The 26,551-nt window shown below is 39.1% G+C and overlaps 1 long non-coding RNA gene across 2 annotated transcripts in view, besides 1 other annotated feature; it reads right to left on the bottom strand.

Annotated features, from left to right (window-relative positions):
* Window positions 1-13,788, bottom strand: part of LOC105377271 (uncharacterized) — a 40,126-nt gene extending 26,338 nt beyond the window's left edge. Inside the window, exons 1-2 of one of the 2 annotated variants that reach the window (XR_001741717.1) lie at window positions 13,749-13,788; window positions 5,711-5,784 (exon numbers count right to left, since the gene is read on the bottom strand). This is a non-coding gene — a long non-coding RNA (uncharacterized LOC105377271). Of the gene's footprint in view, window positions 1-5,710; window positions 6,032-13,748 lie in introns of those variants that run through there. The other variant, XR_938866.2, reaches the window with a different exon arrangement.
* Window positions 12,916-14,115: an enhancer, noted in NCBI's record as "MED14-independent group 3 enhancer chr4:72479894-72481093 (GRCh37/hg19 assembly coordinates)". NCBI's record gives its function as "activates an origin of replication core promoter dependent on BRD2, BRD4, P300/CBP and CDK7 cofactors, and independent of MED14, by STARR-seq in HCT116 cells {active_cell/tissue: HCT116}" and the evidence as "EXISTENCE:reporter gene assay evidence [ECO:0000049][PMID:35650434]".

Genomic DNA, 26,551 nt, shown 5'->3' with positions numbered 1-26,551 from the left:
CTTGTCTTGTTCCAGTACTTAGGGGCAATGCTTTCAACTTTTCCCCATTCAGTATAATGTTGGCTGTGGGTTTGTCATAAATGGCTTTTATTACCTTAATGTTTTTCCTTCTATACCTATTTTGCTGAGGGTTTTAAACATAAAGGGATGCTGGATTTTGTCTAATGCTTTTTCTGTGTCTATTAAGATGATACTGTAATTATTGTTTTTAATTCTGTTTTTGTGGTGTATCACATTTATTGACTTGTGTATGTTAAACCATCCCTGCATTCCTGGTATAAAATCCACTTGATCATGGTGGATTCTCTTTTTGACATGTGGTTGAATTCAGTTTGCTGTATTTTGTTAAGGATTTTGGCATCTATGTTCATCAGGGATATTGGTCTATAGTTTTCTTTTTTGGTTAATGTCCTTTCCTGGTTTTGGTATTAGGGTGATACTGGCCTCATAGAATGATTTAGGGAAGATGCCCTCTCTCTCTATCTTTTGGAATAGTGTCAATAGGATTGGTACCAATTCTTATTTGAATGTCTGATATAATTCAGCTGTGAACCCGTCTGGTCCTAGACTTTTTTTTGTTGTTGGCTTTATTTATTTATTTATTTATTTTTAGGTGGAGTCTCACTCTGTCACCCAGGCTGGAGTGCAGTGGCAAGATCTCAGCTCATTGTAACCTTTGCTTCTTGGGTTCAAGTGATTCTCCTGCCTCAGCCTCCGAAGTAGATGGGACTACACGTACATGCCACCACACCTGGCTAATTTTTGTGTTTTTAGTAGAAATGAGGTTTTGCCAAGTTGGCCAGCAAGGTCTCAAACTCCTGACCTTAAGTGATCTACCCACCTTAGCCTCCCAAAGTGCTGGGATTACAGGCGTGAACTACCATGCTCAGCCTCTTGGCTGTGTTTTTATCACTGTTTCAATCTTGTGGCTTGTTATTGGTCTGTTCATAGTCTATATCTACCTGGTTTAATCTAGGAAGGTTGTATATTTCCAGGAATTTATCCATCTCCTCTAGATTTTCTAGTTTATGCATGTAAAGGTATTCATAGTAGCCTTGAATAATCTTTTGTATTTCTGTGGTATTAGTTGTAGTATCTCCCATTTTGTTTCTAATTGAGCTTATTTGGATCTCCTCTTTTCTTTTTTGGTTAAATTCACTAATTGTTTATTAATTTTATTTATTTTTTCAAATAACCAGCTTTTTGTTTCATTTATCTTTTGTATTGTTTTTGTTTGCTTGTTTCAATTTCATTTAGTTCTGCCTTGATCCTTGTTATTTTCTTCTGCTGGGTTTGGATTTAGATTGTTGTATTGTTCTTGTTTCTCCAGTTCCATGAGTTGTGACTTTACATTGTCTATTTGTGCACTTTCAGACATTTCGAGGTAGGCATTTGATGCTATGAACTTTACTCTTAGCACCGCATCAGCTGTATCCCTGAGGTTTTGATAAGTTGTGCCACTATTATTGTTCAGTTCAAAGAATTTTTTAATTTCCATCTTGATTTTATTATTGACCCAACAATCATTCAGGAGAAGGTTATTTAATTTTTATGAATTTGCACGGTTTTGAGGGCTCCTTTTTGGAGTTGATTTCAAATTTTATTCTACTGTGTTCTGAGAGAGCTTGATATAATTTCCACTTTCTTAAATTTACTGAGATTTGTTTTGTGACCTATCATATGATCTATCTTGGAGACTGTTCCATGTGCTGATGAATGTATATTCTGCAGTTGTTGGGTAGAATGTTCAGTAAATATCTGTTAAGTCCATTTGTTGTACAATATAATTTAAGTATGTTCTTTTTTGACTTTCTGTCTTGATGACCTATCTAATGATGTCACTGGAGTGTTAAGGTGACCCCCTATTATTGTATTGCCATCTATCTTGTTTCTTAGGTCTAGTAGTAATTGTTTTATAAATTTGGGAGTTCTAGTGTTAGGTGCATATACATTTACAATTGTGATATTTTCCTATTAGACTAGTCCTTTTATCATTATATAATGTCCCTGTTTGTCTTTTTTAACTGCTATTACTTTATTTATTTATTACTTTATTTATTGTTTTGTCTCATATAAAAATCACTACTCCTGCTTGCTTTTGGTGTCCATTTGTATGGAATATCTTTTTCTACCCCCTTAAGTTTATGTGATTCTTTATGTGTTAGGTGAGTCTCCTGAAGACAGCAGAAACTTGGTTAGTAAATTCTTATCCATTCTGCCATCCTGTATGTTTTAAGTGGAGCATTTAGGCCATTTACATTCAATGTTGGTATTGAGATGTGAGGTACTACTCTATTCATTGTGCTATTTATTGCCTGAATACCTTGGGTTTTTTTCATTGTGTTATTGTTATATAGGTCTTGTGAGATGCTTTAAGGAGGTTCTATTTTGGTGTACTTTTAGGATTTGTTTTGAGATTTAGAGGTCCTTTTAGCAGTTCTTGTAATGCTGGCTTGGTAGTGGTGAATTCTTTCAGCATTTCTTTATCTGGGAAAGACTATCTTTCCTTCATTTATGAAGCTAAGTTTCACTGAATAAAAAATTCTTGGCTGATAATTGTTTTGTTTAAGGAAGCTAAAAATAGAACCCCAATGTTTTCTAGTTTGTAGGGTTTCAGCTGAGAAATCCGCTATTAATCTGATAGGTTTTCCTTTCTAGGTTACCTGATGCTTTTGCCTCACAGCTCTTAAGATTCTTTCCTTCATCTTGACATTAGATAATCTGATGACTATGTGCATAGGTGATGATCTTTTTGCAATAATTTTCCCAAGTGTTCCTTGAGCTTCTTGTATTGGGATGTCTAGATCTCTAGAAAGGCCAGGGAAGTTTTCCTTGATTATTCCCTCAAATATGTTTTCCACAGTTTTAGATTTCTCTTATTCCTTGGGAACACCAATTATTCCTAGGTTTAGATGTTTATCATAGTCCCAAACTTCTTAGAGGCTTTGTTCATTTTTTTCTTCTTTCTTTCTTTGTCTTTGACTGGTATAGTTTGGCTGTGTCTCCACCCAAATCTCATCTTGAACTGTAGTTCCATTAATCCCCACATGTTGTGGGAGGAACCCAATGAGAGGTAATTGAATTATGGAGCAGTTTATCCCATACTGTTCTCGTGGCAGTGAATAATGCTCATGAGATCTGATGATTTTATAATGGGTTTCCCGTTTCACTTGGCTCTCATTCTGTTTTGTCTGTTGGTATGTAAGATGTGACTTTTGCATTCCACCATGATCGTGAGGCCTCCCCAGCCACGTAGAACTGTGACTCCATTAAAACTCTTTTTCTTGGTAAATTACCCAGTCTTGGGGATGTCTTCATCAGCAGCAGGAAAATGGACTAATATGTTAAATTGATACCAGTAGAGTAGGGTGCTTTTGTAAAGATACTTAAAAATCTGGAAGCGACTTTGGAACTAGGTAACAGGCAGAAGTTGAAACAGTTTTGAGGGCTCAAAAGAAGATAGGAAAATACGGGAAAGTTTGGAACTTCCTAGAGACTTGGAGGGCTCAGAAGACAGAAAGATGTGGGAAAGTTTGGAACTTCCTAGAGACTTGTTGAATGGCTTTGACCAAAATGCTGATAATGATATTGACAATAAAATCCAGGCTGAGGTGGACTCGGATGAAGATGAGGACCTTGTTGGGAACTGAAGTAAAGGTGACTCTTGCTATGTTTTAGCAAAGACTGGTGGCATTTTGCCCCTGCCCTAGGGATTTGTGGAACTTTGAACTTGAAGGAGATGATTTAGGGTATCTCGTAGAAGAAATTTCTAAGTGACAAAGTGTTCAAAAGGAAGCAGAGCATAAAGGTTTGTCAGCCTAATGATGCAATAGAAAAGAAAAACCCATTTTCTGGGGAGAAATTCAAGCCTACTGCATATATTTGTATAAGTAACAGCAGCCAAATGTTAATCACCAAGGCAATGGAGAAAATGTCTCCAGGGTGTATCAGAGAGCTTTGTGGCAGCCCCTCGCATCTCAGGCCCAGAGGCCTTGGGGGGAAAAATGGTTTCATGGGCCAGGCCCAGGACCCCCTACTGTGTGCAGCCCAGGGACTTGGTGCCCTTTGTCCTAGCAACTCCAGCTGTGGCTAAAAGGAGCAGGCTGTGGCGTTGGAGGATGGAAGCCCTTAGCCTTGGCAGCTTCTATGTGGTGTTGAGCCTGCAAGTGCACAGAAGTCAATAATTGAGGTTTGGGAACCTTGGCCTAAAATTTAGAGGATGTATGGAAATGCCTGGATGTCCAGGCAGATGTTTGTTGAAGGGGCAGGGCCCTCATGGACAACCGCTGCTAGGGCAGTGTGGAAGGGAAATGTGGGGTTGATGACTCCACACAGAGTACCCACTGGGACACTGCCTAGTGGAGCTTTAAGAAGAGCACCACTGTCTTCTAGACCCCAGAATAGTACATCCACTGACATCTTGCATTGTGTGACTGGAAAAGCCACAGACACTCAATGCCAACCTATGAAACCAGCCAGGAGGGAGGCTGTACCCTGCAAAGCCACAGGGCCAGAGCTGTCCAAGACCACAGGAACCCACCTCTTGCATCAGCATGAACCAGATGTGAGACATGGAGTCAAAGAAGATCATTTTGGAGCTTTAAGATTTGACTGCCCTTGGCTGACCATGGTGGCTCACACCTGTAATCCTAGCACTTTGGGAGGTCAAGGCGAGTGGATCACAAGGTCAGGAGTTCAAGACCAGCCCGGCCAACATGGTGAAACCCCGTCTCTACTAAAAATACAAAAATTAGCTGGGCGTGGTGGCACACCTGTAATCCCAGCTACTCTGGTGCCTGAGGCAGGAGAATTGCTTGAACTGGGACCCAAGAGGCGTAGGTTGCAGTGAGCTGAGATTGCACTACAGCACTCCAGCCTGGGCTGCAGAGTGAGAATCCATCAAAAAAAAAAAAAAGATTTGAGTGCCCTGCCGGATTTCAAACTTGCATGGGATCTGTAGCCCCTTTGTTTTGGTCAATTTCTCCCATTTGGAGTGGGTGTATTTACCCAATACCTGTACACTTATTGTATATAGGAAGTAACTAATGTGCTTTTGATTTTACAGGCTCACAGACAGAAGTGACTTGCCTTGTCTCAGATGAGACTTTAGACTGTGGACTTTGAGTTAATGCTTAAATGAGTTAATACCTTGGGGGAATGTTGGGAACACATGATTGGTTTTGAAATGTGAGGACATGAGATTCATGAAGGCGAAGGGTGGAATATTATAGTTAGGCTGTGTCCCCACCCAAATCTCATCTTGAATTGTAGTTCCCTTAATCCCCTATTGTTGTGGGAGGGACCCGGTGGAAGATAATTGAATTATGGGGGCAGTTTCCCTCATACTGTTCTGGTAGTGAATAAGTCTCATGAGATCTGATGATTATATAAGGGGTTTCCCCTTTCACGTGGCTCTCATTCTCTCTTGTCTGCCATGATGTAAGATGTGACTTTCACTTTCTGCCATGATTGTGAGGCCTCCCCAACCATGTAGAACTGTGAGTCCATTAAACCTCTTTTTCTTTATAAATTATCCAATCTTGGGTATGTTTTTATCAGCAGCATGAAAATTAACAAATACAATATTAACAGATTGGGTTAATTCAAAATCCTTGTCTTTGAGCTCTGAGGTTTTTTTTTTTTAACAGTACAAAATTATCTTTATTCAGAAGATCACATAGCAGCATGTTCATAATCAAAAACATTTTACCTTAGCAATAAACACCAGTCATTTATGCAAGAGCTTCCCAGGGTTGGTAGATATTTTTATGGCTTCATTTTGCTCTAGTTAAAGAAATGGAAAAGATGCTTTTAACTTATTATCAATCCTACATCAGGTGTCAAGAAATGCAAAGCATTAGAAAGAGAGAGGGAAAGAGGGATCTTCAATATTCTCTGTAAAGGAGCAAATTCTGACATGGTCATCTCAGACACCCTCTTTTAATTCCAAAGTCTAACCTTACAAAAGCAGAGAAAGGCCGGGCACGGTGGCTCATGCCTGTAATCCAAGCACTTTGGGAGACTGAGGCAGGCGGATCATGAGGTCAGGAATTTGAGACCAGCCTGGCTAATATGGTGAAACCCTGTCTCTACTAAAAATAAAAAAATTAGCTGGACATGGTGGTGTGTACCTGTAGTCCCAGCTACTTGGGAGGCTGAGGCAGAAAAATCACTTGAACCCGAGAGGCAGAAGTTGCAGTGAGCTGAGATTATGCCACTGCATTCCAGCCTGGGCAACAGAGCAAGACTTCATCTCAACAACAACAAAAAAAAAAAAAAAAAAGAAAAGAAAAGAAAATACACATGTCCTAAGTTGCACATGCACAAATAGCAAGTACTAATGCATTCTTTTTTTTTTTTTAATTATACTTTAAGTTCTAGGGTACATGTGCACAATGTGCAGGTTTGTTACATAGGTATACATGTGCCTTGTTGGTTTGCTACACCCATCAACTGGTCATTTACATTAGGTATTTCTCCTAATGCTATCCCTTCTGCAGCCACCCCCTCCTCCTGACAGGCCACAGTGTGTGATGTTCCCTGCCCTGTGTCCAAGTGTACTCATTGTTTAATTCCTACTTATGAGTGAGAACATGTGGTGTTTGGCTTTCTGTCCTTGTGATATTTTGCTCAGAATGATGGTTTCCAGCTTCATCCATGTCCCTCAAAGGACATGAACTCATCCTTTTTTATGGCTGCATAGTATTCCATGATGTATATGTGCCACATTTTCTTAATCATGTCTATCATTGATGGACATTCAGGTTGGCTACAAGTCTTTGCTATTGTGAATAGTGCCGCAATAAACATAAGCGTGCATGCGTCTTTATAGTAGCATGATTTATAATCCTTTGGGTATATATCCAGTAATGGAATCGCTGGGTCAAATGGTATTTCTAGTTCTAGATACTTGAAGAATCACGACACTGTCTTCCATAATGGTTGAACTAATTTACACTCCCACCAACCGTGTAAAAGTGTTCCTATTTCTCCACATCCTCTCCAACATCTGTTGTTTCCTGAATTTTTAACAATTGCCACTCTAACTGGCATGAGATTATATCTCACTGTGGTTTTGATTTGCATTTCTCAGATGACCAGTGATGAGGAGCATTTTTTCATGTGTCTGTTGGCTGCATAAATGTCTTCTTTTGAGAAGTGTCTTTGCCCACTTTTTGATGGGGTTGTTTGTTTTTTCTCTTGTAAATTTGTTTAAGTTCCTTGTAGATTCTGGATATTAGCCCCTTGTCAGGTGGGTAGATTGCAAAAATTTTCTCCCATTCTGGAGGTTGTCTGTTCACTCTGATGGTAGTTTCTTTTGCTGTGCAAAAGCTCTTTAGTTTAATTAGATTACATTTGTATATTTTGGCTTTTGCTGGCATTGTTTTTGGTGTTTTAGTCATGAAATCCATACCCATTCCTGTGTCCTGAATGGTATTGCCTAGGTTTTCTTCTAGGGTTTTTATGGTTTTAGGTCTAACATTTAAGTCTTTAATGCATCTTGAATTAATTTCTGTATACATTGTAAGGAAGGGATCCAGTTTCAGCTTTCTACAAATGGCTAGCCAGTTTTCCCAGCACCATTTATTCAATATGAAATCCTTTCCCCATTTCTTGTTTTTGTCAGGTTTGTAGATCAGATGGTTGTAGATGTGTGGTGTTATTTCTGAGGCGTCTGTTCTGTTCCAATGGTCTATATCTCTGTTTTGGTATCCATACCATGCTGTTTTGATTACTGTAGCCTTGTAGTATAGTTTGAAGTCAGGTAGCATGATGTCTCCAGGTTTGCTCTTTTTGCTTAGGATTGTCTTGGCAATGTGGGCTCTTTTTTGGTTCCATATGAACTTTAAAGTAGTTTTCTCCAATTCTGTGAAGAAAGTCATTGGTAGCTTGATGGGGATGGCATTGAATCTATAAATTACCTTGGGCAGTATGGCCATTTTCATGATATTGATTCTTCCTATCCATGAGCATAGAATGTTCTTCCATTTGTTTGTGTCCTCTTTTATTTTGTTGAGCAGTGGTTTGTAATTCTCCTTGAAGAAGTCCTTCACATCTTTATAAGTTGGATTCCTAGGTATTTTATTGTCTTTGTAGCAATTGTGAATGGGAGTTCACTCATGATTTGGCTCTCCGTTTGTCTGTTATTGGTGTATAGGAATGCTTGTGATTTTTGCACATTGATTTTGTATCCTGAGATTTGCTGAAGTTGCTTATCAGCTTATGGTGATTTTGGGCTGAGACGATGGGGTTTTCTAAATATACAATCATGTCATCTGCAAACAGGGACAATGTGGCTTCCTCTTTTCCTAATTGAATACCTTTTATTGCTTTCTCTTGCCAGATTGCCCTGGCCGGAACTTCCAACACTATGTTGAATAGGAGTGATGAGAGAGGGCATTCTTGTCTTGTGCCAGTTTTCAAAGGGAATGCTTCCAGTTTTTGCCCATTCAGTATGATATTGTCTGTGGGTTTGTCATAAATAGTTCTTATTATTATAAGATACATTCCATCAATACCTAGTTTATTGAGCGTTTTTAGCATGAAGTGCTGTTGAATTCTTTTGAAGGCCTTTTCTGCATCTATTGTAATCATGTGGTTTTTGTCGTTGGTCTGTTTAATTGATGGATTACATTTATTGATTTGCATATGTTGAAGAAGCCTTGGATCACAGGGATGAAGCCCACCTGATCATGGTGGATAAGCTTTTAGATGTGCTGCTAGATTTGGTTTGCCAGTATTTTATTGAGGATTTTGGCATCCATGTTCAGCATCGTTATTGGTCTAAAATTCTCTTTTTTGTGTGTGTCTCTGTCAGGCTTTGGTATCAGGATGACGCTGGCCTCATAAAATGAGTTAGGGAGGATTCCCTCTTTTTCTATTGGTTGGAATAGTTTCAGAAGGAATGGTACCAGCTCCTCTTTGTACCTTTGGTAGAATTCAGCTATGAATCCATCTGGTCCTGGACTTTTCTTGGTTGTTAGGGTATTAATTATTGCCTCAAATTCAGAGCCTGTTACTGGTCCATTCAGAAATTCACCTTCTTCCTGGTTTAGTCTTGGGAGGGTGTATGTGTCCAGAAATTTATCCATTTCTTCTAGGTTTTCTAGTTTATTTGCATAGAGGTATTTATATTATTCTCTGATGGTAGTTTGTATTTCTGTGGGTTTGGTGGTGATATCACCTTTATCATTTTTTATTGCATCTATTTGATTCTTCTCTCATTTCTTTTTTATTAGTCTTGCTAGTGGTCTATCAAGATTGTTGATCTTTTCAAAAAACCAGCTCCTGGATTCATGGATTTTTTGAAGGGTTTTTGTGTCTGTATCTCCTTCAGTTCTGTTCTGATCTTAGTTATTTCTTGCCCCCTGCTAGCTTTTGAATTTGTTTGCTCCTGCTTCTCTAGTTCTTTTAATTGTGATGTTAGAGTGTCAATTTTAGATCTTTCCTGCTTTCTCTTGGGGCATTTAGTGCACACTGATTTAGTTGTTCACAGAGATTCTTGCACATTGTCTCTTTGTTCTCACTGGTTTCAAATAACATCTTTATTTCTGCCTTCATTTCGCTATTTACCCAGTAGTCATTCAGAAGCAGGTTGTTCAGTTTCCATGTAGTTGTGCAGTTTTGAGTCAGTTTCTTAATCCTGAGTTCTACTTTGATTGCACTGTGGTCTGAGAGATAGTTTGTTATAATTTCTGTTCTTTTACATTTGCTGAGGAGTGCTTTACTTCCAATTATGTGGTCAATTTTAGAATTAGTGCAATGTGGTGCTGAGAAGAATGTATATTCTGTTGATTTGGGGTGGAGAGTTCTGTAGATGTCTATTAGGTCTGCTTGGTGCAGAGCTGAGTTCAAGTCCTGGATATCCTTGTTAACCTTCTCTCTCGATGATTGTCTAATATTGACAGTGGAGTGTTAAAGTTTCCCATTATTATTGTGTGGGAGTCTAAGTCTCTTTTTAGGTCTCTAAGGACTTGCTTTATGAATCTGGGTTCTCTTGTATTGGGTGCATATATATTTAGTATAGTTAGTTCTTCTTGTTGAATTGATCCCTTTACCATTATGTAATGGCCTTCTTTGTCTCTTTTGATCTTTGTTGGTTTAAAGTCTGTTTTATCAGAGACTAGGATTGCAACCCCTGCTTTTTTTTTTTTTTTTTTTTTTTTTTTTTTGCTTGGTAGATCTTCCTCCATCCCTTTCTTTTGATCTTATGTGTGCCTATGCATGTGAGATAGGGCTCCTGAGTACAGCACACTGATGGGTCTTGACTCTTTATCCAATTTGCCAGTCTGTATCTTTTACTTGGGGCATTTAGCCCATTTACATTTAAGGTTAATATTGTTATGTGTGAATTTGATCCCTTCATTATGATGTTAGCTGGTTATTTTGCACATTAAGCGATTCAGTTTCTTCATAGCATCGATGGTCTTTACAATTTGGCATGTTTTTGCAGTGGCTGGTACCGGTTGTTCCTTTCCATGTTCAGTACTTCCTTCAGGAGCTCTTGTAGGGCAGGCCTGGTGGTGACAAAATCTCTCAGCATTTTGTTGTCTGTAAAGGATTTTATTTCTCCTTCACTTATGAAGCTTAACTTGGCTGTATATGAGATTCTGGGTTGAAAATTCTTTTCTTTAAGAATGTTGAATGTTAGTCCTCACTCTCTTCCTGCTTGTAGGGTTTCTGCCAAGAGATCTGCTGTTAGTCTGATGGGCTTCCCTTTATGGGTAACCTGATCTTTCTCTCTGGCTGCCCTTAACATTTTTTCCTTCATTTCAACCTTGGTACATCTGATAATTATGTGTCTTGGGGTTGCTCTTCTCAAGGAGTATCTTTGCGGTGTTTTCTATATTTTCTGAATTTGAATGTTGGCCTGCCTTGCTAGGTTGGGGAAGTTCTCCTGGATAATATCCTGAAGAGTGTTTTCCAATTTGGTTCCATTCTCCCTGTCACTTTCAGGTACACCAATCAAACATAGATTTGGTCTTTTCACATAGTCTCATATTTCTTGGAGGCCTTGTTCAGTTCTTTTTACTCTTTTTTCTCCACACTTGTCTTCTTGGTTTATTTCATTCATTTGATCTTCAATCACTGATATCCTTTCTTCCACTTGATTGAATCAGCTATTGAAGCTTGTGCATGTGTTACAAAGTTCTCGTTCCATGGTTTTGAGCTCCATCAGGTCCTTTAAGTTCTTCTCTACACTGTTTATTCTAGTTAGCCATTCGTCTAATCTTTTTTCAAGGCTTTTAGCTTCTTTGAGATGGGTTAGAACATGCTCCTTTAGCTCAGAGAAGTTTGTTTTTACTCACCTTCTGAAGCCTATTTCTGTCAACTGATCAATGTCATTCTTCATCCAACTTTGTTCCATCACTGGCCTGGCAAGGAGCTGCAATCCTTTGGAGCAGAAGAGGCACTCTGGTTTTTAGAATTTTCAGCTTTTCTGCTCTGGTTTCTCCCCATCTTTGTGGTTTTATCTACCTTTGGTCTTTGATGTTGGTGACCTACAGATAGGGTTTTATTGTGGATATCCCTTTTGTTGATGTTGATGCTATTCCTTTCTGTTTGTTAGTTTTCCTTCTAACAATCAGGTCCCTCAACTTCAGGTCTGTTGGAGTTTCCTGGAGGTCAACTGCAGCCCGTTTGCCTGGGTATCACCAGCAGAGGCTGCAGAACTGCAAATATTGCATAACAGCAAATATTGCTGCCTGATCCTTCCAGCGGAAGCTTTGTCCCAGAGGGGCACCTGCCTTTATGAGGTGTCTGTTGGCCCCTACTTTGAGGTGTCTCCCAGTTAGGCTACATGGGGGTCAGGGACCCACTTGAGGAGGCAGTCTGTCCATTCTCAGATCTCAAACACCATGCCGGGAGAACCAGTATGCCCTTCAGAGTTCTCAGCCAGGGACATATAAGTCTGCACACATTTCTGCTGGCTTTTCTTCAGCTAGGCCCTGCCTAGAGATGTAAAGTCTATAGAGGCAGCAGGCCTTGCTGAGTTGTGGTAGGTTCCACCCAGTTTGACAGTTTGAGCTTCCTGGCTGCTTTGTTTACCTACTCAAGCTTCAGCAATGGCAGACCCCCTCCCCCCACCAGGCTGCAACCTTGCAGGTCAATCTCAGACTGCTGCGCTAGCAGTGAATAAGGCTCCATGGTTGTGGGAGACGCTGAGCCAGGCATGGGAGAGAATCTCCTGGTCTGCCAGTAGCTAAGACCATGGGAAAAGTGCAGTATTTGTGCAGGGAGTGTCCTGTTTTGTCCAGTACAGTCTGTTAAGTCTTCCCTTAGCTAGGAAAGGGAAATCACCCATCCCCTTGTGCTTCCTGGGTGAAGTGACAGCCTGCTCTGCTTTGGCTTGCCCTCCATGGGCTGCACCCACTGTCCAATGAGTCCCAGTGAGATGAACCAGGTACCTTAGTTGGAAATGCAGAAATCACCTGTCTTTTGCGTTGATCACGCTGGGAGCTGCAGACTGGAGCTGTTCCTATTTGGCCATCTTGGAAATATAGATCCTGAGGTTCTTTCTTCTACTTGTTCAATTCTATTGCTGAGACTTTCCAGTGCATTTTGCATTTCTCTAAGTGTGTCTTTGATTTCCAGAAGTTGTGATTGTTTTTTATTTATGCTGTTTCACTGAAGAGCTTTTTTTTTCATATCCTGTATCTTATTTTTTATTTCTTTAGTTGGATTTCACCTTTCTCTGATGCCTACTTGATTTGCTTAATAATCAACCTTCTGAATTCTTTTTCTGGCAATTCAGAGATTATTTCTTGGTTTGGATCCATTGTTCGTGAGCTCATATGATCCTTTGAGGGTGTTAAAGAACCTTGTTTTATCTTATTACCAGAGTTGTTTTCTGGTTCCTTCTCATTTGAGTAGACTACGTCAGAGGGAAGATCTGGGATTCAAGGGCTGCTGTTCAGATTCTTTTGTTGCATGGAGTGCTCCCTTGATGTGGTGCTCTCTCCCTTCCCCTAGGAATGGAGCTTCCTGAGAGATGAACTGTAGTGATTGTTTTTGCTCTTCTGGGTCTAGCCACCCAGTGGAGCTACTGGGCTCTGGGCTGGTAGTAGTAAGTGTCTGCAAAGAGTCCTGCAATGTGATCCATCTACACGTCTGCAGCTGTGGACACCAGCACCTGCTCCAATGGAGTTAGCAAGGAAGTGAAGTGGACTTAGTGAGGTTCCTTGTTTGTGCTGTTGTTTAGTGTACTGGTTTTGATTGGTTGACCTCCAGCCAGGAGGTGGCACTTTCAAGACTGCATCAACTGCAGTCCTGTAGGGAGGATGAAAACTTGCCCTAGGACACCTAGCTAAGTATTCAGTATTCTCAGGTGGTGGGCAGGGCCATAGAGCTCCCATGAGATTATGACCTTTGCCTTCGGCTACCAGGGCAGTTAGAGAAATACCACCAGGTAGGGGCAGGGATAGGTGTGTCTGAGCTCAGCCTTTCCTTGGGTGGGGCTTACTGCAGCTGCTGTGGGACATGGGGTGTGGTTCCCAGTCCAATGGAGTTATATTCCTATCGGGATTATGGCTGCTTCTGCTGAGTCATACAGGTCACAAGGAAAGTGGGGGAAAGCCAGCAGTCACAGGCCTCACCCTGCTTCCACATAGCCTGCAGTCCTAAAGGCCAGTCTCACTCCCACCATGCCCCCACAACAACTCTGAGTGTATTTCCAGGCAGCAAATGACCAGGGCTGAGAACTTGCCCCAGACCATGAGCTTCCCCATTGAGAAAGGAAGCAGACTCACCATTTTTTGGTGTCTCAGGGAGCCTGCAGCAGTGATCCAGTTCCTTCAAAGCGTTTGTGGATTCTCTCAGCTTTCCTGGTATGTTCCTGCAGTAGTTCTTGGAGCAAAAGTTAACGATGTGAGTCTCCACACACTGCTCTGACCATCCAAGTGGGAGCTGCAAGCTAGTCCTGCCTCCTGTCCACCATCTTAATCTGTCTCCCAACTTTTAATTTTTTTTAAAAACTTGTTTTTAACTCAGGTAAAAACACATCCTGTAAAGTGAAGAGTGAGACAAAATTCAGCTACGGGAAAGAAGGAGTTTTCTCTACACCAGTATCATACCATAATTCAACATTTCTGAAATCCTGGGAAAAATTTGGAATTTAGTTTCTTAAAAGTAATTATTGGTCAAATTGAACTTCTTTCTGTTTTTGAGCTTGTTCCTATCACATGAGGATTTGGAGTGAAGATTAGAGAGGACATATCTAAAAGCACCTGACAGAGTTTCTGGCCCAAGAAAAATGCATAATAAATAATAATCCCCTTTGCTGTGTTTGTGTGTGTATGTGTGTGTGTGTGTGTGTGTGTGTGTAATGTGGGGCAGCCATTTGAATTAAACTTTTAGTTTCACTAAATTGTTTTATGGTAGAAATAAATAATCTATAATTTTTCTAAAAATCAGTTGTAAATTTTTCACCATCAGTTGTTAAGAATTCTAATTTTGGTAGTTGTTAAACAGAATAAAGCTTGTCAACTGCAACCAATTTTTATTTGTGACAGGATCCAAATTTAAAACACCAGACCCTTTATAGAAATATGTATAATACAAACATATATTTGGTGTAAAGGAAATTTCCTATTTTTAGGAAATTATGTTTCCTAAAAATTCCATGTACATGTTATTCTTATTATACTTAAAATTAGAGTTTTTAAATTTTAATATAATCTATTTTTTCTGTGTTTCTTGTATTTGCCATATATGCACCTCTCACACCGAATTGGCATAAGGCAAATGGATGAATGGATAGAGAGACAGATAGAAGATAGATAGATAGATGATAGATAGATAACAAAAGAGGAAAAGAAGAGAACAAATAATTTTTGTGTTAGTCTGATAAAAACGTCATTTATTGGAATCCAATTAAATTATTACAAAGTTGAAGTTTAAAAAGTTACTTAAGATCTAGAGTATAAATCGGAAAATCTATTTAATGCTCATTTAGCCAACAGTTTTTATGTCTCCAAGAATTGGTTTACTACAAATTTTCAGGAGTAAAATTTGTTTCTTAACCAATTATAAGTATTTTTATTTTCCAAAACTTGGGTGTTCTACTAGAAAAATTTGAAAATAAGAGTAAAGTAAATATAGTCAGTTTTTCAATAATGTTTGTTTTGAAAATGCAAATTTGTCCCAAAGCAATTGATAAATTAGAAAAAATATTTAGTATAATGTGAATTTGTATTTCATATGCATGATTTTCTCTGCAGAAAACACTACATGAAGGTAAAAACCTTTATCCAGCTGAACTGAGCCAAGTAGGAATGCACAGAATGCATATCCACACACATCTTAAATATCTACCTCACTTAATGCAAGAGTTAAACGTCAAGGTTTGTTTTTGTTTTGTTTTGTTTGCTGTTGTTTTTTTCTTTGCATTTGTAAACTTGTTTATTAAAAAAAACTCTTTCATCATCTTATATATGTCTAAATGTCTTGGCTCAGAAATGCCAAATTATGCATGCAAAAGGAAAGCTTTAAGAACTGAGAAGAAGCTTGAAAGAGTAAAGCACTCTGAATGAAATGAGAGAACATGTGATACATTCTGAGCAACAAATGTAAAAGAATCCATACTGCCAACCATCAGAGACAACACTGGGAAATAAAAGAAAATTCTATGGTCAGGAAAATTTGGGTGCTGGAAGTCAATAAGAGCAAGGCCTAAAGAAGAATAAAAATATAGAAAGATTGTAAAGTATATGGACTGAAGACCAAATGTTAAGAAAATTGGAAACAATCTTTTCCCTAATCAAAGAGACAGCACTATCTATATTCAAAGACCCTAAATAGAAATTACCAAATCTTGCAGAAGTGGTTTTTGTTTTGTTTTGTTTTAGTGATAACAGTGTCTTCAAACATGGCAAGAACTTCCAAAGGCTTCAGCTGTTGGATGGAGCTGTAAGAACAAATTAGATAGCCACAAAAAAAATTCCCAGCAGTGATACAGAAGGCAATTAAAGAAAACAGCTGTCCTTTAGATCAAATTCTCTATTTTGAAGAATGGAGTACTATTATCATTGTACGCCTGAAAAAAACCTACCTTTCAAAGGCAGGAAAACATACCCCAGGATTCACAGCTGTGAATTGTATACAACTGATGCTGGCTGGCTCAAGCACAAGGATCTACAGTTATCCGTATCTGGTATTACAACTTTCCATTCTTCAGAAAATGGTTCTTCTGCCATTTAACAATAACTCACGAGTCACAACCCTTCAATGCCCACTTCCACAAACAAACTTTATGTCCTTTTCAAGATAAGGTATCATATTTATTGTAGTACTTTTGTATGTCTTGACCATTTAACCTGTGTAAGACTGTGCTACTGTTTTTATTAGGTTTCTGTCTTTTTTTTAATATGTCACAAAGAAGTTTTTGAGGTTTTGCCTAATTTTTCCCATAAGCCTCATGGTTTTTATTGTGCAGCTTTGCATAGCACTTTCATTCTGAGGAACACATATATCATGTTATAGCAGAACTAACAGTGTTACTCTTCAGAGATGGCCACTACCTTTCTGCAAATGCAAGTCATCTACATATTATAGTTAGGATGACAATTATCCAGAAAGATTACAGTCAATAAGATGAATAGTTTTGTCAATAACGGTAGCACAGAGAGAGAGGGAACTGGGGTTTTTATCTCTATGTTGACAACTCCCAAATGTATATGTTGAGCTCAGATTCTTCTTCTGGACTCCAAACTCATATAATCAAGCACATACTTGACATTTCCACTTGGCCTTCCTCCAGTCATCTCAAATGCACTTAACATGTCCAAAATGGAACTCTTTATCTTCTCTTGGAAAACTTCTCCTCCTCCAGTTACTACTGTCTTAGTAAACTTCCCCTCTGCTTTTGCCCTTTCTCCTATTCATGCCCAAGCCTTGCTAATCCTGAACAACTCCCCCACACCTGCCAGTTGCATCCCAATCATCACCAGACCTGTCTGTCAGTCTCCCAAATGCACTTTCAGTCTTTGTAACTTCTCTCTACTCCAATGACAACACTTGGTTTACATCTCCCTGGGACCATCATAGTCACTCAGTTGTACCCCTGCTACATGTTCTTCCCAGAGTAGCCTGAGTGTTTTGTAGGAAAAACTAAAGTCAGATCACAGCTCTGACTAAAGCATCTAATTGCTTTCCATTGCAGGTTTTATAATCCACAGAATCCCTCAAGGTGGGCAGGACATGGCCCCAGACTGCCACTTAAATCTCATTTGACAACACATCCCTCACATTATCATTAATTGTATCCAAAACCTGGCTTACTGGAGCCACGTTCTTTCTTGCCCCATACATTCACACATACTGTTCCTCTTCCATGCACATCTCACTTGTTTAATTTCTACTCAGCCTTTAAGGTCTCAGGCAAATATCAATTTTTCAGAAAGACTTTTTCTACTTCTTTTCTAAATTAGCAACTCCTTCATTTGCTTACTGATGGAGGTGTTTTCATTCACAACACTTTTTAAAAAATTTTGGCAAACAATTCTTTTTTTACATTTTTGTTGTTTTTGTTTTGTTTTGATTTTTTAAAATAAATTTAGGGCACAAGTGCAGTTGTGTCACACGGATATATTGTGTAGTGGTGAAGTCTGGACTTTTAGTTTACCCAATACCCAAATAGTGTAGGATTTCATCTCTCACACCCCTCCCACTCTCCAATTTATGGGCACCTCCAATGTCTATTATTCCACTTGGTGTGTACATGTGTACCCATTGTTTAGTTCCACTTTTAAGTGGCAACATGTGGTCTTTGACTTTTTGTTTCTGCATCATTTCACTTAATAATGGCCTTTAGTTCCATCCATGTTGCTGCGAAAGACATTATTTCATTCTTCTTCATGGCTGAGCAGTATCCCATGGAGTATATATATTCCATTTTCTTTATCAAATCATCTGTTGATAGACACTTAGGCTGATTCCAAGACTTTGTTATTGCAAATAATGATGTGATAAACATATGTTTACTCATAACACTTCTGACACCAAAATGAGGGGTTGTTTTTCCTCCTGAAACAAACTGAGTCTCCTACAATTCAATTCAATTGAATTCTGACACCCCCAGAGTTAACATCAGACTCCACAGGTTTAAGAGCTCAATCCCACAAGACTGCCCTTACTTCACAGGCCAATCCCAAGTATGAAATCCCCAGGCCACCCGCCCTTCTGTCCAACATAGCTACAAAGTTAGGGATTCCTACAACCCTCTTTTTAGAACTGATCATTGACTACAACTCATAGAACTCAGGAAAGCACTTAACTTACTATTTCTGGTTTATTATGAAGGGTAAAACTCAGGAACAGACCAATGGGAGAGATACACAGGGCAAGGTATGGGAGAGAAAATAGAGCTTCCATGCCCCATCTGGGCACACCACCCTCCAGGAACCTCTGCATGTTCACCAGCCTGGAAGCTCTCCAAACCCCATTGTTTATGTTTTATTTAAGGAGGTTTTATTACATACACATAATTGATTAAATCATCAGCCATTGTTGATTAGGACAGAGTCCAACCTTTCTGCACTCCCTGAAGGTTGGGGAGTGGGGCTGAAATTTCCAAGCTTCTAGACAAAGTTTGGTCTTTCTGGCCCCCAGTCTCTATCCTGAAACTATATTAGGGGCCCAGCAAGAGAGTTGCTTCATTGGAAAAAAAGGTGCTTCTATGATTGTTATCAATCACGAAACTCCAAGAGTTTTGGAAACTCTGTGCCAGGAACAAAATCCAAATTTCTTTCTATGATACCACACTGATCTTGTAATTATTATCCTTCTTAAGATTTATCACAGTTTGCATATATTTATTTATTCACTTGAATAATTCTTTGCTAAATTCATTATTTCTCACTAGACTGTGAATTCCATGAAATCAAAGAGCATCTCTATTTTGGTCACATTATTGCATAACATATGCCTGGTACATGGTATGCGCTTAAAAATATTTACAGAATGAATAATTTCCTTCAGAAAATGTTCATCACATATTGTGGATTTTGAATTAACTTCTGGAACCATATCTAAGAAAAGGGTTTTTTTTTGTTTTTTTTTTTTGAGACAGTCTCACTCTGTCTCCCAGGCTGGCGTGCAGTGGCATGATCTCAGCTCACTGCAAACTCCGCCTCCCGGGTTCAAGAGATTCTCTTGCCTTAGCCTCCCAAGTAACTGGGATCACAGGCACCCACGACCAGGCCTGACTAATTTTTGTATTTTTAGTAGAGACAGGGTTTCACCATGCTGACCAGCCTGGTCTCGAACTCCTGACCTCAGGTGATGTACCCACCTTGGCCTCCCAAAGTGCTGTGATTGCAGGCGTGAGCCACTGTGTGCCCAGCAATTTTTTTTTTTTTTTTTAGAAATGAGGTCTCAGTATGTTACCCAGGCTGGTCTCCAACACCTGGTCTCAAGCAATCTGCCAGCCTCAGCCTTCCAAGTGCTAGGGTTACAAGCATAAGCCACCACATCAGCCTAGAACACACAATTTTAACATAATCAGATAAACATAAAAATAGCAATTATTAGCATGTTGATTATTTGCAATTCACCTTAAGGACAACTTTATTGATTATTATCTATTATTATCTCCACTTAACAGTTGAGGAAACTGAAACTCAGGAAAGGTAAGCAATTTGCCTAATTTTACACGGTCGATGATAGAAGTTAAATAGCAAGTGCTCTGAACACTCTCTTAAGAGACAGAAAGAACTTACTCACCCTGAGGGAGTTGAAAAAGGTTTCACTGAGAAGTGACACTTGATCTGAATTTTAAATAATGAGTCAGAGGTTTCCAAACAGAAAAATGGTATGAGGGCATTCCAGGAAGAAAAAGGTATGCATAAATGTGGGAAAGGGCATGACATATTTGTTTAAGGCAAAGAGTTCACAGGAGCTGAATTCCTAAGTTACTTGGCAGAAAGTACACAGAAAAGAGGCAACAAAATTAGGTTTGGACCAAATTGGGAAAGGCTTGCATTAAATCTAATCTGGACAAGGGAAAACCAATGGTGGATTTGGTCTAAAAAAAAAAATCCAGGTAGCTTTCTATGACTTAAAATGCTAGGTATATACAATTCTGCCAAAGAGAAACAAAAGTGTCAGACTTATTGAAACACACAGATGATAAAAGACAAAAGTTAGGAGTTCCTCATTTAAAATAAACCAACAGCTCTCTTCCTCTTTTCTTCACTTCCTTTCCTGGACACTTCAGTCCTAGCCAACCAGGTGTAGTTGAGCATGTGTCCATCTCAGCCTGGGAGAGCCACAGTGGTCAAGAGTGAGAATTGAGAGCAAGCTAAGGGTAATGAGAGCGTCCACCAAAGGAGGCAGCCCAAGGTGGCCTGACAGTGCTTCAGTAGGATAAGGAAAACATCCATGTGAGCAGGCAGCCTGGCAGCAGGTGTTGGAACCTGAGCACATCTATAGAGGCATAGCCCAGGTGCAGGATCTCAAAGCCAAGCAGGGTAAGGAAGACACCCCTGAAGGGGTGAGCCCAACACAGGGAGTCAAAGCCCAAGCAGCATGAGGAGGGTGTCTGTGTAGGAGGGATGGCATGATAAAAAGAACTGGGTGTCCAGGTCAGGTAAGGAGGATGTCTGGGTATGGGGGGTGATCCAGTGTAGAGTGTCAAGACCAGTTGTGGTGAGGAGGGTTTCTTTCTGGGATAGTGGCCAAATGTGGGGTGTAAGAGCCTAATGGGAGTAAAGAGAGTGCCTGCATGGGTGCCGTGATGTGGCAGTAGCCAGGAATGAGGATGTAAAACCTGAATGGAGTGACGAGGATGTCCCCATGAGGAAAGAAATAGGATCAGCAATGGTGAGAGGTGAAGCCAGTGGACTTCATGCATCGAATGGGGACTTGGAGAACTTTTCTGTATTACAAGAGGATTGTAAAACACAGCAATCAGCACTCTGTAGCTAGCAAGGGGATCATAAAATGCACCAATCAGCGTGTTGTAAAATGTACCAATCAGCGTGTTGTAAAAACGCACCAATCAGCACTCTGTAGCTAGGAAGAGTATTGTAAGATGCACCAATCAGCACTCTGTAAAATGCACCAATCAGTGCTCTGTAAAATGGACCAATCAGCACTCTGTAAAACGCATCAATCAGCAGGATCCTAAAAGTAGCCAATCACAGGGAGTATTGAAAAAAGGGCACTCTGATAGGACAAAAACAGAACATGGGAGGGGACAAATAAGGGAATAAAAGCTGGCCACCCCAGCCAGCAGCAGCAACCCGCTGGGGTCCTCTTCCAAGCTGTGGAAGCTTTGTTCTTCCACTCTTCACAATAAACCTTGCTACTGCTCACTCTTTGGGTCTGTGCCATCCTTAAGAGCTGTAACACTCACTGTGAAGGTCTGCAGCTTCATTCTTGAAGTCAGCAAGACCATGAACCCACTGGAAGGAACCAACTCCGGACACAATGGGAATGAGTTCCTTACTCGTAGATTGATCAACAAATAAGTACCTTAAGGGTAATGTGTGCAGATTGCTCATGAATGAACTGCAAATATGGAACTTTATGGTTTTGTCTGGCATTGGAGGCATTAGTGTAAACTCAGGTCTTTCAAAATATATGTTAGATATAGAAATAAATAGAGGTGTGTGCCTGTGTGTATATAATGAGAGGGCATGAGATAAAATGAAAGGCAGGAAGCACAGCTAGCACCTTGATCTTGACTTCTAAAGACCTTTATCCATTGAGAGCTAGGGATTTTGTGAAGAAGTAGCTGATTCCAGGCTGGGGGAGAAAACTACAGTGTGAGCCTAGAACAACTTGTGGTGTCTAAAAGTGAGGAAGTGCTCAAAGAATCATAGAGACTTGTAGAAAAAAAAAAAAAGTCAGGTTGAAGGGGCTTCCACTAGGCAAATCAGGGATAATTTGGAGGTCAAAATGAATACAAAGTGGCAGACAATAACGCATTAAATAAAACAGGAAATCATGAGTCTATATTAATATAAGCAAACAAGCAAACAGATTGAAACTATGCTGAGAAAGAGGATTTTACATAGTCTCATATACTTGCCCCTGCAAAAAATGCTTATTAACTGCAAAGGGAAAAAGAGTCACCTCACAGTGAACAACCTTGGCAGATGCCACCTCATTCAAGGATTAAACACCAGTGATAAGACAAGATGTATTTTATCAGGTCCACCTGATAAAATACAAAGAACAGAACACAGTATCATTTTAAAAATATTTATGCCAAAGATGCATTACCTGAAACTAAAGATAAGGAAATGTTAGACAAACCCAAAGAGATAGTCTCTAAAATAATTGACCTGTAATCTTCAAGTGTCAGAGTGTTAGTTAAGAAGAGACTGAAGAAGTAACTGTTCCCTATTGAAGGAGACTACACACATGACAACTAAATGCAAGCTGCGATTTTGAACTGCATTCTTTAGATACAAAGGATGTTATTTACACATGGGCTGAGGACGAGATGGTAGTAAGGTATCAATGTTAATTTCCTGATTGTGAGTGTTGTATTGTGGTTATGTCCTTTTTTATAGGAAATGCACATTCAAGTATTCAGGGATGATGAAGCATAATATCAGCAACTTAAGAATAGATTCAGAAAAAAAGGTTCTTTGTACTTTATATCCACAGTTTCTGAAGATTGAGATTCTTCTTCTAAAAAAAGAAACCAACAATAAAATCCCATGTGTGTGTCAGCTGAGTTCTCCAGAACTCAGTTTGAGCTCAAACATAATGCAGGAGGACCTTCATTCTTCAAACCCCAGGCAATGTACTGCTTCCCTTAGCAACTTACTAAAAATCATATTCGTTCTTACTTTAACACACAATTCTTAACACATCATTCTTGGTTTTCAATCTTTCTGGCCAATGACTGATTACATGACCACTATTGAAGCAGACCAAAGACTAACGGGCGCGCTTGTAAAATAAATAAGTAAATAAATGTAAAAGGTGAAGGTTATTTAGCTTGCTGCAGGAAGGGAGACAGCACTCCATAGGAACATAGGAGCATGTCAGTAATGGGGAGGGGGTTAAGAAAAGGCTTCTTATGGGAGTTGAGCTTATGTTGGATGATTCTAAGGAGTTAAATAAGGAAACAAGAACCAGTTCTGAATTGGGAGCTTTCAAGAAGAAGGAAAAAGTCAGTGATTGGGAATCTTAACATTTTTTGTCTAAGAGATAAGAAGAATAAAGCGAATCTAGAGTTGCCACTGGTAAAAAAGCAGCAATCATTCATGTTAGTCAAAAGAGGTGGGTATTTAGTCATTTCTCTGGTCACGTAGCAGTCTTGTCTATGCCTTGTTCTTAGCATTGTTTATGCGAATGTTAAGAACACAACGTTGTGATGGGAGAGAATATTGCGGTCTGGTTTTCATCAGGGCCATGTTTCAGTTCCTCACCAGAAAAATAGACAGAGATGAGTAGTACTGTAAGATGCAGACACAATGCAAACACAGGAAGTAATCACCAACAACCTGCTATTAAGAAAGCAACCAAAAAATTAAAGAAAAAACATGGACCCAAGATAATTATAATAATAATCTGCTAACTGCTGCCAGTTCCTAGGACTGTTCTAAGGGCTGTACATGTTCTAAGGGCTGTACATAAAACATTTTTAATTCTCAAAGATATATAATAAATTATCTCATATTATTATCTCCATTTTGCACATGGGAACACCGAGGGACAGAGAGATTAATTTCCCCAGTGTCACTCTGCTGGTAAATAGCGGACCCAGAATCACTATATAACATAATGGTGGATTTCCACATTCAATGACTAAACATTTACTGAAATCACGCTATATAAAGTATTAGCTGGACATTATAGGGAATAAGGCATAGCACCTTCTAAAATATCCCTTAATATCTCTTCCAAACATTGGCCACTTTCAACAATCCCCTTTCCTTGCCTCACTCCCAATTTTTAAAGTATGTAATCTAGCCTTCTATTTAATAGTTGAACCAAGGATCAACAATGTACCTCCCTCTAACTTTGACTTACCCTAAATTTAGCCATTTCTCTCCTTTCATTCTTTTCTCTATGCTGCATTGTTTTCTTTTTTGTTTGTTGAACTCTATTGCCCCGTAAATACTACATGTGTTATCTTGCAATTGCCTGTTTATATACCTATCTTAGAAGACATAATTTATTTTTGTTTTTGGCTGCTCAGCATCCTAAGTTTTTAGGGTGGGAATTACTCATATTCATGCTGATATATGTTCAACAACTGGTTCTCCGTGTGTGTGTGTGTGTGTGTGTGTGTGTGTGTATTATTTTATTATATTATACATGTACTCATATCAAGAACATATAACAGATAATTTATAAATAATAATAAAATATCTAATTTCATTTTAAATTCTACACAACCAATTAATTCTCACAGAGTGTTTTTGTTGATTTTGCTAAATTTCTGCAAACTAGAGTTGTAGGTGATGAAGGGGTGTAGTTCTGACTGAAAGGCTGGTTGATATTTTCATTTATGTTAGTGAGTAAGGCAAAGTGAAACAACTAAGACCTGTATCAGAACTTTTTTGTTCATCACACAAACAGATTCCTTGCTGAATCTGATAATAGTATTTTAACACTGGAAGAATATTTCCTCACTTTTTGTACTAGTCACAATGTAATGACTACAAATATAATACACTTTCAAGTTTAACTTGCATGATTTACATTTCTCCATCATTTTCTTAAGTCTAGACCATCAACAAAGCAATAAACCAAGTTGTACTTTGTAGTGCTTGTGAATTTCTATAGTATAAAGCATGCACCTTGGCTGATTTCAAAGTGCCAACATGATATCACTGAACACTAACACAGAGCAGGGAAGAGATGTGCAGTAACACATCGATGTGTCGCATTTCCACTATTCAGCCATGAAAATGCAAATAACCTCAAGAACATAAGTAATCCTAACATAACTTGGGAAGTGAAAAGCTTTGAGTATTTATTACCTTTATTATTAATATAATTTATTTAATTGCAAATTAATATAAATTTTAAATAATATCTATATATAACAACCAGCTTATAGGACTTCTAAAATTTTAACCGTTGGCCCTCAGGAGCAGATAGAAGACATATCTAACTTACCACTTGTGATGGTTAATATTAAGTGTCAACTTGATTGGATTGAAGGATGCAAAGTATTGTTTCTGGATGTGTCTGTGAGGTTGCTGCCAGAGGAGGTTAACATTTGAGTCAGTGGACTGGGAGACGCAGATTCACCCTCAGTCTGGGTGGGCACCATTCAATCAGCTGCTAGGTAGAAGAAGGTGGAATGAGCTGACTTTCTGAGTCTTCCAGCCTTCATCTTTTTCCCGTGCTGAATGCTTCCTGCCCTTGAACATCAGACTCCAGGTTCTTCAGCCTTTAGACTCTTGGACTTACACCAGTGGTTTGTCAGGGGCTCTTGGGGCTTCGGCCACAGACTAAAGGCTGCACTGTCAGCTTCCCTACTTTTGAGGTTTTGAGACTCACACTGAGCCACTACTGACTTCCTTGCTCCTCAGCTTGCAGATTGTCTATCGTTGGACTTCGCCTTGTGATTGTGTGAGTCAACTCTCCTTATATAAACTCCTTTTCATACATTCCTCTATCCTGTTACTTCTGTCCTAGAGAACGCTGACTAATACACAACTGCTTCTTCTTTGCTGTGGATAGTCTTGGGTGGGAGAGAGGATCTTCTATAAAAAAAAATCAAAGTAAGCTAGCCTCCTCTCCCCTGTGGCCAGTCAGGAACAAACCCAAGCTTGGGAAGTCGTGCGCTGTCTTCTGGGACTTTGAATCTTGACTGAGTTATAAAAGGAGAAAAGAAACAGTTGGAGATGAATCATCCATCACACTGGCAGTTGCTGACCTGATAGCTCTTGCTATGAGACTAGGCCATGTTTCCCTTTCTACTGTCTGGAGATTCCTTGATTGCTGCCTCTTTCTATACTAGTTCTCAAGCCTATGATTCTCTTATGTTTTTCCCATAAATTACATTTTCCTTAGGTTACAGCAGATTTCTATTGCTCACAATCAATAAATCTCATAGGTTTTATCTGAGCTCCTCAGGAGAAATACCAGATAATTTTCTTGTTTCTAAGACTGTTTTTAAACTCTAAAGTGTTTCTATGCACTTTACATAGTTCTAGTACTAGGTGAGAACTCAATAAATGTTTGCTAACATGAATGTATGAACAGATTTTATAGTTAAAATAACATTTCTGATTATATAGGTCATATACAAGCCCCTAACATACTTAAAATAATAAAATTATGTGCTCAGTTCCAGAAGTTAGGAATAAATGTGATAGTACACTGTTTCTGCATAGAACATTATAAACATTTGTGAAAAGTTCTCAATAAGCCATTTCTATATATTAAGATATTGGTGATCTTAATAACAATAATAATAATGGTGGGATTGGGTAGGTGGGAGGCGATGTTTGCCATGGGATTGAATATTTCTTGTGCCTACTTTATATCCTCTCTGCCTACTTTTTACTTTAGTAGTTGATGTTGCAATGGACTTTACAGAGGTATAAACTGGTAACTCCTTACTTCAGCTGTGCCA

This window comes from Homo sapiens, chromosome 4, assembly GCF_000001405.40.
Source record: "Homo sapiens chromosome 4, GRCh38.p14 Primary Assembly".
Taxonomy (NCBI): Eukaryota; Metazoa; Chordata; class Mammalia; order Primates; family Hominidae; genus Homo; species Homo sapiens.
This window is presented reverse-complemented; position numbering and strand designations above follow the sequence as displayed.